The 13,446-nt window shown below is 38.2% G+C and overlaps 1 protein-coding gene across 6 annotated transcripts in view, besides 1 other annotated feature; it reads left to right on the top strand.

The window, feature by feature from the left end:
• DNAH7 (dynein axonemal heavy chain 7) overlaps window positions 1-13,446 on the top strand; it is a 331,135-nt gene that overhangs the window by 274,229 nt on the left and 43,460 nt on the right. For all 6 annotated transcript variants that reach the window (XM_011511488.4, XM_017004504.3, XM_011511490.4 and 3 more), the window contains 2 exons: window positions 71-271; window positions 7,438-7,599. In XM_011511488.4, the coding sequence (XP_011509790.1) occupies window positions 71-271; window positions 7,438-7,599 (363 nt within the window). The remainder of the gene's footprint in view (window positions 1-70; window positions 272-7,437; window positions 7,600-13,446) is intronic.
• Window positions 5,588-6,787: an enhancer, noted in NCBI's record as "BRD4-independent group 4 enhancer chr2:196652546-196653745 (GRCh37/hg19 assembly coordinates)". NCBI's record gives its function as "activates an origin of replication core promoter dependent on BRD2, P300/CBP, MED14 and CDK7 cofactors, and independent of BRD4, by STARR-seq in HCT116 cells {active_cell/tissue: HCT116}" and the evidence as "EXISTENCE:reporter gene assay evidence [ECO:0000049][PMID:35650434]".

The raw sequence follows: 13,446 nt of genomic DNA, 5'->3' as shown, positions 1-13,446 counted from the left end.
TCATATGTATGCTTTTGAGATTTTCTTTGGGTTTTATTTACTCTTTTGTATCTGATTTATTTTCTTACAGGAGTTAAGCCCAGAGTCAACACATCCAGATTTCCGAATGTGGCTAACGAGTTACCCATCTCCAAATTTCCCTGTGTCAGTACTGCAGAATGGAGTGAAAATGACCAATGAAGCACCAAAAGGTTTACGGGCTAATATCATTCGATCATACCTCATGGACCCGATCTCTGATCCGGAGTTCTTTGGCAGCTGCAAAAAGCCTGTTAGTAATGGTTAAGTCTTGTTACCTCGGCCCTGTAAAGCACTTCAAGTGGCCCCTGGTGATCATGGATGTGTGCACTGAGTAAAACTAAAAATTAAATAGGCCTCCTGCACCGCAGTGCAGTAGGTTTTGATAACTGATTATTGACTGTGCTGAAGTCAATTTTGTTAATATTTTATTTTAATTTTAGCACCAGCCTCATTCCTGCTCAGCTGAGATCTTATGGGGTGTCATTAATAATGTAGCTTTCTATTTAGAAAGTCAGCTGTAAGCCATTCCCAGTACAAATCTGCAAGGTTGGAGAATCTTGTTTCAGGATATTAACTGAGCCTTGTGCTATTTAGAGCCATGTCTCTAAATTAAAACATAAAAATATTTCCTTCATATAACTATAATGAGAGCCAAAATGATTTTACTTCTTGATTGATGGGACTCATAAGGGTCTTTTTTAGCGTCACCAGGCAAGCAGGGAAACCACCCACTGCTTTCATGATTAGAATTGTGTACGTGAATGTCTGTGACCTAAAATTGTTTCACAGCGTTTTGCCATAATTAAAAATGGAAGAGTTTCTTTTTAAGAGGGGTTATGAACTTTAGGAAGTTTTTGCTGTTAAAAAGCTCACACGCTTGATGTCTGAATTTGTTTTAAGTGCACATCAAAGGAAAACATTAAAAATAAAGAAGTACTTTCATTAAACAAAAGTCTTGGGTACTAAAAAATAAAAGGGGGCCTATATTTAAAACTAAGTCAAACCATCTCTTAAGCTTCTAAGATCTGCCATAGGACTAGCTTTTGTATTGATTAGGGCCAGAGAGAGCAAGTTACTCCCAGATAGATGATGATGGCATTTCTGCGTATGATGGACTAGACAGAGCCTCTTTGCAAAATTTTAACTCAAACCCTCCCTTTCTTCTAGATCAAAAGGTCTCTCCAGCAGTAGTCACCTACATTTCAGGTCCAGGAATTTATGAAACACAGCCCGAACGAAAACCAAAGTCTCATTAAATGCCAAAGCAGCACATCATAATTTTTGTTTTAACTTTTTATTTGAAAATAATTTTAATCTTACAGAAAAAATGCGAGTATAAAAATAGTACAAGGGCCAGGCATGATGGCTTACACCTGTAATCCCAGTGCCTTGGGAGGCTGAGGCAAGAGGATTGTTTGAGGCCAGGAGTTTGTGGTCAGCCTGGACAATATAGTGAGACCCCTACCTCTATAAAAATAAATAAATAAAAAATTAGCCAGGCCTGGTGGCACACACCTATAGTCCCAGCTACTCGAGAGGCTGAGGAGGGAGGATCGCTGGAGCCCAGGAGTTTAAGGCTGCAGTGAGCCATGATCATCCCACTGCACTCCAGCCTGGGTGACAGAGCAAGAAGACCCTATTTCTAAATAAATAAATAAATAACAATAGTACAAGGAACATCCCTACACCTTTTTACCCATATTCATCTCCTGTTAATATTTTATTCCTTTTGCTTTATTATTTGTATTTCCTCTCTCTCTCTCTCCCCCTTCCCCTGACCATCCCTCCCCTGCCCCCACATCAGGTGCATGTAAATTAGATAAGTTAGATATATCATGGCCCTTTATCATTACATTTTTTTGGTGTAAATTTTGTAAGAATAGGGATATTATCTTATTCTGGTACAGTTATTACTTTTAATAAGTTTAAGAAGGATACACTGTTATTTAATCTATCATTTGTGTTTCAATTTTGTCAGTTGATGCAGTAATATCCATTTCCTGTCCCTGACAGCATTGGTCTAGTATTCAGTGTTATACTTAATTGCCTCGTCTCTTTTGTCTCTTTTAATCTGGCACATTTTCCTATTCTTTCTTTGTCTTTTATGACATTGATATCTCTGAAGAAGTCATCTCCCCCTGTTTTTTTAATGTGTGTGTGTGTGTGTGTGTGTGTGTGTGTGTGTGTGTGTGTATTTTTTGGTTTTTTTGTACTTTCAACTTTTATTTTAGATTCAGGGGATACATTTACAGGTTTGTTAAATGGGTATATTAAGTGATGCTGAGGTTTGGGATATGAATGATCCTGTCACCCAGGTAGTGAGCATAGTACCCAACTGTTTTTAAGCCCTTGCCCCCTCACTCCCTTTCCCCTTAGTAGTCTCCAGTATCTATTGTTCCTTTTTTTTTTTTTTTTTTTTTTGAGACAGGGTCTCACTCTATTGCCCAGGTTGGATTGCAGTGGCTCAATCACAGCTCACTGCAACCTCCACCTCTTGGGCTCAAACGATTATCCCACCTCAGCCTCATGAGTAGATGGGACTACACGTGCACACCACCACACCTGGCTAATTTTTATATTTTTTGGTAGAGACTGGGTTTCACCATGTTGGCCAGGCTGGTCTCAAACACTTGACCTAAGTGGTCCGCCCTCCTTGGCCTTCCAAAGTGCTAGGATTACAGGCATGAGCCACTGCACCTGGCCTATTGTTTCCTTCTTTATGTCTGTGTTTACCCAATGTTTAGCTCCCACTTATAAGTGAGAAGATGCAGTATTTGGTTTTCTGCTCCTGCATTAACTGTCTTAGGATAATGGCCTCCAGCTGCATCCATGTTGCTGCAAAGGGCCTGACTTCATTCTTTTTTATGGCTGCATAGTATGCCACAGTGTATAAGTACTACATTTTCTTAATCCAGTCCATCATTGATGTACACTAAGGTTGATTCCATGTCTTTGCTGTTGCAATTAGTGCTGAGAATATATGAGTTCATGTGTCTTTTGAGTAGAATGTTTTATCTTCTCTGGATATACACACAGTAATGGGATTGTTTGGTGGAATGGTTGTTCTGTTTTAAGTTATTTAAGAAATCTCCAAACTGCTTTCCACAGTGGCTAAATTAATTTACATTCCTACCAACAGTGTATAAGCATTCCCTTTTCTCTGCAGCCTCACCAGCATCCATTGTGTTTTGACTTTTTTTTTTTTTTTTTTTCCTGCTTCAGCCTCCCGAGTAGCTGGGACTACAGGCGCCCGCCACCTCGCCCGGCTAATTTTTTGTATTTCTAGTAGAGACGGGGTTTCACTGTGTTAGCCAGGATGGTCTCGATCTCCTGACCTCGTGATCCACGCGCCTTCACCTCCCAAAGTGCTGGGATTACAGGAGTGAGCCACCGAGCCTGGCCTTGACTTTTTAGTAATAGCCATTCTGACTGGTATAAGAAGGTATCTCATGGTGGTTTTGATTTGCATTTCTCTGATGATTAGTGATGTGGAGCACTTTTTTTGTTATGTTTCTTGGCCACTTGTAAGTCTTCTTTTAAGAAGTGTCTGTTCATGTCTTCTGCCCATTTTAATGGGGTTATTTGTTTATTGCTTGCTAAATTGTTTAAGTTCCTTATAGATTCTGGATATTAGACCATTGTCAGATACATAGTTTGCAAATATTTTCTCCCATTCTGAAGGTTGTCTTTTTACTCTGTTGATAGTTTCTTTTGCTCTCCAGAAGCTCTTTAGTTTAATTAGGTCTCACTTGTCAATTTTTGTTTTTGTTGCAGCTGCTTTTGAGGACTTAGCCAAAAATTATTTTCCAAGGCCAATTTTGAGAAGGGTATTTCCTTGGTTTTCTTCTAGGATTTTTATAGTTTGAGTTTTTACATTGAAGTCTTTAATCCATTTTGAGCTAATTTTTGAATATGGTGAAATGTGGGGATCCAGTTTCATTCTTCTGCATATGGCTAGCCAGCTATCCCAGTACCATTTATTGAATAGGGAGTCTTTTCTCCATTGCTTATTTTTGTCAACTTTGTCAAAGAGCAGATGGCTGTAGGTGTGCAGCTTTATTTCTGGGTTCTCTATTCTCTTCCATTGGTCTATGTGTCTGTTTTTCTTTTTTTTTTTTTTTTAACCAGTACCATGCTGTTTTGGTTACTGTAGCCTTGTAATATAATTTAAAGTTGGGGAATACGATGACTCTGGTATTCTTCTTTTTGCTTAGGATTGCTTTGGCTATTCAAGCTGTTTTTGGTTCTTTATGAGTTGTAGAATTAATTTTTTCTAATTCTGTGAAAAATGATTGATAGTTTGATAGGAATGGTGTTGAATGTGTATATTGCTTTGGGGTGTATGGCCATTTTAACAGTATTGATTCTTCCAGTCCATGAGCATGGAGTGTTTTTCCATTTGTTTAGGTCACCTGTGATTTCTTTCAGCGGTGTTTTGTGGTTCTCCTTGTAGAGATTTTTCAGCCCTTAGTTAAATGTATTCTTAAGTATTGTGTGGGGTGGGAGGCAGCTATTATAAATGGGATTGTGTCCTTGATTTGGCTTTCAGCTTGAACATTATTGGTGTATGGAAATGCTGCTCATTTTTGTACATTGATTTTGTATTCTGAAACTTTACTGAAGTCATTTATCAGTTCTAAGAGTCTTTTGGCAGAGTCTTTGGTGTTTTCCAGGTATAGAATCATATTGTCAGCAAAGAGAGATAGTTTGTCTTCTTCTTTTTCTATTTGGATGTCTTTTATTTTTTCTTTTGCCTGTTTACTCTGGCTAGGACTTCCTCTCTGTTTTTTAATAAATTTCTCATTTTGGGTTTTTTTTTAATGTTTTCTCATGATTAGATTCAGGTGATTCATTCTTAGCCAAGATATTCCATAGGTGATGTTGTATGCTCAGAGATCACATCTGGAGGCACATGATGCCATTTGTCCCTCATTGATGATACTAATTCTGATCACCAAGACAAAGTATTGCCTTATTTCCTCACTGTATAATAACTGCTTTCTCCTTTGCCAGGAATAATCAGTCTGTGGGGGAGATACTTTAGCACCATGAAAATATCCCATTCCTCATCAAAATCCAGCCCCAACCCAGAATTAGTAATCATTGATGATTCTTACCTGATCCAGTTATTCTGTGATGATTGTAAAAATATTATTTCCTACCCGAGTGCTCCCTTCCACATTCGACACTTGGCACTCTACTACAAGCAACAGTTCTCCCTTCTCCGCCATTTGTTTATCTATTAATTGGCATGGACTATGAATTCCTATGCTTTTTTTTTCCCCTCAATGGTACATTAAGTATTTTCATTGCTATACTTGAGTCTTTTGGTACTCAGATTCTTCCAGAGTTGGTCAGTTAGGGCTCCTTCAAACTGCTTCCTCTGTACTTGGTATAGGTTCCATATTAAAAAAAAAAATTCTATTATCTGGTGATTAGTAGCAGTAGTACCTCTTACTTTCTGGCATAAGATGTTCCAGGCTCATGGTGTACCTATCTTGCCCCAGCCCTGGAATCAGCCATTTTTCTGAAGAATCCCATTTCCTTTTAATGGAGAATGGCATTAGAGAGCATGGTTTGGGTGTTAGAGGAGCTTATTGCTACTGCATTATCTGTCTGTATTTTCTTGACTCTTTCAGTGGAGAGAACTTGGAAGTATATACATGTACACACATACACAAATATACAAATATACATGCACACATACATGCAAATATACAAATACACATACATGCAGACAAGTTCATGTGCACATAAATACTACATACATATTTTAGAAGTGATGAATTCATACTAATACCTCCAATTTCAGTCACTCTTCTCAGATATCTTTTTTGCTTTTCCTCATTCCATATTTGTATGTCCCTTCTTCTGCAATGAGAAGCCTGGTTTTCAACACATCAGCACATTTACTGATTTGCTCAATTCTCTAATATATTGAAAATAGTCCAGAATTAGCCCAGCATGTTTAACTACCTCTGTGGTTAAATTTATGCAACTTTTTTTTTGTCTCCCACTCTACCTTTCAAAGTTATTCTGTGAGGGAAACCCTTCCCCTGCTCTTGTATAAAATGCCATTTCTTTGACTTTTCTGGTTACTGTTAGGTAGTAAAGTGTTCTGTAGTCATTTTAAATTGTAAAGCCAGCCTTGATTCAGAAACCAAGAAGTATAATGTAATATATTGATCATTACTTCAACTTTTATTCAAAATCTAGGTTTCCACTTCCCAGTGTCTCACCTTGGGCTTGTAGTTGGTGGCCTTCCTGCCCTTGGGGGAAGATGGAGTTGGCATCTTTCTTCTTGTGACTCCTCCTGCACTTGATAGCTGCTGATACTGACTGCTCAGCTCCAAGTGTGTGTGAGGGCAAGGCTGGGAGAGGCAGAAATTCCTGATGGCGGCTGCTATTGCCTACAGCTCTCTGGACTTGGCAAATCATTTAAAGCTGACCCTTGAGCTCTTTGTGAAATCTCTTGTGAGTGTTTTCATGGGTTCTCCTTAGGCTCCCCTGCTGGACTTCTGTGACTGTGACTCTGTCACCTTTGGCAGTGTCTCTACTCAAGATGGCTACTCCAAATCCTCCTCAGCTTCTGGTTCTCCAGCACTCCCTTCATACAGGCTCTTACCCTTGGGGTTTCCTCACCCCGTGGCAGAAGTCTTCTTAACCAGGGCACCTTTAAAATGACCCCCAGCTCCCATTCTCAGCCCACACTCTCCGTCTGCTCCTTGGGATTCCCACTGGATGGGCCCACTGTTGGAGGAGTGTGGCGACTTCACTTTTACCATCCTCTCCCTACTTTCCACCCTGCCCCAGCTGCAGGGGACATGTGTCAGCTCTCCAGGTGGCCCCATCAATTCCTTCTCACTAACTCGAACTTAGAGGGTAGACCCCACACAACCCTCCCTACTGGGGATTAGGGGAAGGGGACTCCCAGCATAACAGCTGTTCCCTCCCAGGAAATCTCTTCACAAATCCTCTTTAAAGTTCTATTTTCCTTGTTTCCTATTCTCCTCGTGGGTTTTAGAGACCTCTAATCGGTTCGAATTATCTCCTTTAACATTTCTCCATGGTGATCTGGGAGCACACGTTGGAATTGTTACATGTTGCCTTATGATGCTTCAGTAAGGACCTCAAAAATCTGTAACGCAGCATTAAGTTAGATGAGCCTCCCATGCTTCCTAAAAACCTGGGGTACACAGCTATGTGTGCATAGCTATGTGAACATATACACAGACGGACATACTTTGCTTGAAAAGCTGTAGAAACATACTTAACTCTGTTATAATTGTAATTTGGGATGAATATGTCCCTATGCTATTTATAAATGAAAGAAATTTGCTTTCATTTTAAAATATGGTAAATATAATGCAATATATGGAGAAAATAATGATGCGGCATCATTTCTTCTCATTACAGGAGGAATTCAAGAAATTGCTTTATGGCCTGTGTTTCTTTCATGCTTTGGTACAAGAAAGACGGAAATTTGGACCCCTAGGGTGGAATATTCCTTATGAGTTCAATGAGACAGATCTGAGAATCAGCGTACAGCAGCTCCACATGTTCCTGAACCAGTATGAGGTATCATAAAAATCACAGCAAGGACATTACCTATGTTGCTCTTTATCATGTTATAAGTGTGTTATAGTAAGTGGGCACTTCTGATTAATTTCTACTCTTATGAAATGAATAGGAGAGTAGTTCCCAACAGCTTATTAAGTAGTACTTTATTGTAATAGGGTATTATAACTGCTATACTAGGTAGTTAGGACATCAGTTTGTCTATTAGAAACCCATGATATATCATTTATTTTGACACACAAACACTTAGGGAGATCCAAAAAATGATAATATTATACTTATTTTGAAAAGGACTTGAGAAGACTATTAACCAGGTTCCAAAATGTAAAAAACAAACAGACCAGTTGTCTTCCTTTGTGGAGTATGACTTTATTTTTAGGGAAATGTCGTTATACCATTATTCCAGAGCTTGGACCATTTGTCAGGAAAAAAAAAAAAAATCTATTTAAGCCATTGGTGTTAACCTGGGGTATAGACTGTGGAAAGAAGCCGAACAGCCTAATGTTGTCACATAGACCACATTTCAGCCTCTCCAGTTCTGATGTACTCATACACATGCAGCATGGCGGTACCCTTTCTCTCTTTGCTATTTATCAATGGGATTTTTGACATGCCTGTACCTTTGAAGAAGCACTTGGTAAATAAACCCAAATGTCCTATAAAAATATGAGGCCTTTTTCTGAAAGTTAATCCTCTAAGTTTTGACAATTTTGTTCAAATTTAGTTTGAAATCTATAACTAAATCATTTCGTCAATTGAGTATGAAAAAGTTTTGGTTTTTGAAACTTAGTAAATTATGACTTTTTAAAGAGGCTTACAAACAGGAAGGCATTGGATTCTATCTCTATAAAAGTAAAGAAGAAACTGAACAAAATAAATACTGAGAGTTCAGATGGTGTATCTAAACTTATGTGAAGAATCTTTTATTTGGGCTTCTGTGTTTCATCAGACAAATTCTTATTCTATAGAATGAATTCAGAAAGCCCTCAATTCTGCAGCATCTAAATTTGACAAAATATTCAAAAGAATCATAAATTTAATGAGCTTTGTTCTTGTAGTAACATTTATCCAAAAAATACACTAATAAGGGAGCAAAAATGCAGTGATACAGTGCCTGAGGAAGTATTCGAGCTATAATTACACTTTTCAAAACAAAAAAAATAAAAAAGGATGAGAAGCTCTTCCATTTAGGAATTTGTTCTGAACACTTGTAGGGTATATTCTAATTTAAAATATTATTTAATGAAGAGTCAGTTAAAAGTATGCAGGTATGCGAGACTGGTTTAACATTACAAATTCAGTTAATGAATTAGAAGGCTGAAGAAGAAAAACCACATGATCATATCGATAGATGCAGAAAAAACATCTGAAAAAATCCAACTCATTCATGATTTAAAACAACAACCAAAAAAAAAAAAAAAAGCTCTCAGTAAACTAGGAATGGAGGGGAGCATCCTCAACTTGATTAAACAAACATACAAAAAACCTACAGCTAATTGTACTTAAATGGAGAGAAACTAGAAGCTTTCCCACCAAGATCAGGAACAAGGCAATGATATCCTTTCTCACTACTGCTTTCGACATTGTACTAGAAGTCCTAGCTAATACAAGTCCTAGCTAAACAAGACCCTGTCTTAAAAAAATAAATTAAATTAAATTAAAAACACACACACACACAGACAGACTGAGAGAAAATGTTTGTAAAAGACGTATCCGAAAAAGGACTCTTATCCAAAATATCCAACAAACTCTTAAAACTCAACAATAAGGAAACAAAATTCCTGGTTTAAAAATGGGTCGGCCGGGTGCGGTGGCTCACGCCTGTAATCCCAGCACTTTGGGAGGCCAAGGCAGGCAGATCACGAGGTCAGGAGATCGAGATCATCCTGACTAACACGGTGAAACCCCGTCTCTACTAAAAATACAAAAAATTAGCCGGGCGTGATGGCAGAAGCCTGTAGTCCCAGCTACTCGGGAGGCTGAGGCAGGAGAATGGCGTGAAACCGGGAGGCGGAGCTTGCAGTGAGCCGAGATCATGCCCACTGCACTCCAGCCTGGGTGACAGAGCGAGACTCCATCTCAAAAAAAAAAAAAAAAGGGTCAAAGATATTAACAGACATCTCAGTAATAAATATATACAATATGATAAGCATATAAAAGATGGTCCACATTATATGTCATCAGAGAAATAAAAACTAAAACAATGAGAGACCATTACACATCTATTAGAATGACCAAAATCTGGAACATTGACACCACCAAATGCTAACAAGGATGTGGAGCAGCAGGAACTCTCATTAATTGCTGGTGTGGGTACAGCCACTATGGAAGATACTTTAGCAGTTTCTTATAAAACTAAACATCCTTTTACCATATGATCCAGCAATCATGCTCCTTTGTATTTTCCCAGTGCAGTTGAAAACTTAGGTCCACACAAATACCTGCATATAGATGTGTAGAAGCTTTATTCATAATTGGCAAAACTTGGAAGCAACCAAGATGTCCTTTAGTAGGTGAATGGATAAACTGTGATACATTCAGACAATGGGATATTATTCCGTGCTAAAAAGAAATAAGCTATTAAACCATAAAATGACATGGAGAAAACTTAAATGCATATTGCTAAGTGGGAGAATACAGTCTAAAAAGCCTGCGTAGTCTGTGATTTCGACTATATGACATCCTGAAAAAGGCAAAATTGTGGAGACAGTGAAATGATTATTGGTTCCCAAGGCTTAGGTAGGAAAAAAAAATGAATAGGTAGAACACAGATGATTTTTATTTAGGGCAGCAAAAATATTCTATATGATACTGTAATGGTAGATACACAGCATTATGAATCTGTCCAAATCCATAGGATGTACAACCCTAGGAGTGAACCCTAATGTCAGCTGTGGACTTCGAGTCCTCATGAATGATGTGTCAGTGTAGGCTCATCATTTGTAAGACGTGTGCCACTTTGGTCATGGATGTTGATACTGGGGGAGGCTGTGCAGGTATGGGGACAGGGAATATGTGGGAAATCCCCATACCTTTTGTTCCGTTTTGTTGTGAACCTAAAACTGTTCTTTAAAAATAGTCTTAAAAAAAAAAAGTACAAATCAGTGAAAAAATTTGGTTAACTGTGAGTGATTTGGAACGTTATGCCATGCCAACTAATTTGGTGGTTATTCTGTTGTTATTGGTGTGCTTTTTGGAGACTATTTTTGCCTTTTAGGAAGATCACTCTTACAACAGAATGGAGAGTGGATTTAGAGAGACTTAGCTGGCAGGCTGGTTTTAGGAGATACTAGGAGTTGAATTGTGTCCCTGTAAAAGACATGTTGAAGTCTTAATCCATGGTAATTCAGAATGTGACATTATTTTGGGATGGGGTCATTGTGAGTGTAACTAGTTAAGTTAAAATGTGGTCATGTGGGAGTAGGTTGGGCCGTTAATCTAATATGACTAGTGTCATTATAAAAAGAGAGAAATCTGAACACACCCAGAGAAGGAAGACAGCCATGTGAAGACAGAGGCAGAGACTTGAGTTGTGCTGCCACAAGCCAAGGAACACCTGGAGCTACAACTAGAGGAGGCTGGGAAAGATCCTTACAGAGGCTTGAGAGAGAGTGTGGCCTGCCAGTCCCTTGATTTCAGACTTTTAGGCTCCAGCACTGTTAGAAAATAAATTTCTATCATTTTAAGCCACCTATTGGTGTCATAGAAAAGTAATACAGGAGACTATCATGATAACCCAGGCAGATAACGATAAGAGTCTAAACGAAATCATTTGAGCAAGATTAGGGAACATGGTAGAGATACAATGGATATGTAGGGGAAAGGATTGAAATGACTTATATATTCAATGGTAAAGGGAGAGGGAGAAGCCTTGGTTGATGTGAGTTTTCTGGTGTGGATTGGTGGTGATTTCATTCATTAATCCAGACAGGGAATAGAACCAGGCATTAATAGGTATAGAGCAGATGGGCGAGTGGATATCCAGGTAAAAATGTCTTTTAGGCTCTTGGCATATAGATATAAAACTCAAGGGAAGAGAGAGCACAAAATAGAGATTTATAGGTTATTCAAGTGTTAGGAGAAGCCTGAAAATAGATGAGATTTAAAGGGGGGGCCTTGTGCTGTAGAAAAAGAAGAGAACAAAGATTGTATGTTGGTGAGCACCAAAACACAATGGTAGGAGAGAGAACAGAAGACATGGAGGGCAGATGGTGCAGCCAGGAAAAAAAGCAGGAGCGAGCAAGCTGAGTAAATAAAGAGTATCAAGAATAGTTCATCCTGTTAAATGCTGGAGAGAATAAATTAAGTGCCTGTTGGATTTGCAACAGTAATTTCAAAAGTGTTATGTCTTTTTAAATGCTGAACTCCATCTAACTTTCAGGACTTCGCAGAAATAATACGATTTTTTTTGGAAAAAAATGGCTAATTTACACGTTTTTCTGTGGTTCTTTTAGTTCATTTATAGTGAAAGAATATGATATTTAAATGTATTAAATAAAAAATGATAAATAATTATGTGGTACAAGTATGAGCTATTTCACTTTCTTCAAGAATCTTTAAATGACATGTTTCACTGACCAAAGTGGTTCCTTCTATTAAATGACAAGTCAGCAAGTGCTTCACAATTCCTCCAGCATAGTAATTGTATTGCAAACTTGCCAAAACTGCTATACTTGAGTCATGTATACTTCATCATGAGTTAAAGAGGGATTCTTTGCGGAATGTGGATTCATAGCTCCCTTTGACATTATTAAGTCTAATGCACTCCTTCTTGAACAATCAACATTAGAAATGGAAGAGGTATTCGATAAATGAAGTTAGAATAATTGGTTATTTGCTAAAGTAGATTCTTCATATATAATTTCTGTTGGATCCAAAAAGACTAAATAGAAAAAATTAAAAGTGTAAAAGAAGAAAATTTAGGTGGATATATATTATCTACTTGACAGATGGGCAATTGCGTTGTCATTCTTGTTTTGGTAGGGGTGTGTCTGTGTGTGTGTGTGTGTGTGTGTGTGTGTGTGTGTGTGTGTATAAGACCCACCTCTCACCCCTCATTCTGACCCTAACTGATCCCCAAGGCAACCATTTTCACATCCTGGGGCATATGTGCCTGGACATTTTCCTGTGCATATATAGATACACATATATAAACACAATACACACATAATTTTTTCTCAAAAACATTATTATAGTGTACATATTTATCTTCAGCTTACTTTTTTTTACCTACATATGTTGTGGATAACTTTCAAAGTAGATAGAGATCTTCATTTTAATGACCACTTACACAGCATTTCCCCTTTTTGATAACTAAGATTTTGTGTGTGTGTGTGTGTTTTGCTAGTTAAGGTTAAAACGAACTTCTTATATAACCATGAATACTAGTTGTTGACTTCAAGCCCTGTTTTCACCTACTCTCTCCTGCTGCTCATTGTCTCAACCCTCTTGTAACAAGGAACAGGGAAGCAATCCAAGCAGCAAACTGCCACTATTTCTAGAAACTTTAGTAATCTACATGCCCACCAACCCACCCACCCCTGGGGAAAACACTCCTCAATTTAATTGGCCCTGGATTTGACCAAACTTCTGAGAGAAACAACAGATAGCATTTACCTCATGGACTCTCAGGGGCATGTTGGCCAAGTTTAACCCTTATGAAATTCTCCTCCTCCATATCTCATCTATGTCTACATCACAAAGCCTTCTCAGGGGCTAGCTGATCCACCTCTACCTCATTTACTACTTATTTGATTTGCATTGAGTTTTCTTATTATATTTCATTTTCTTATTGTACTTCATTTTTATGGGGTTAGGGCCTGTCAACAGCGCAAGCCCAGGCAGTGT

Source organism: Homo sapiens, chromosome 2, assembly GCF_000001405.40.
Source record: "Homo sapiens chromosome 2, GRCh38.p14 Primary Assembly".
NCBI classification, from domain to species: Eukaryota; Metazoa; Chordata; class Mammalia; order Primates; family Hominidae; genus Homo; species Homo sapiens.
Note: the sequence above shows the minus strand (reverse complement) of the source record. Positions and strands in the feature narration are given on the sequence as shown.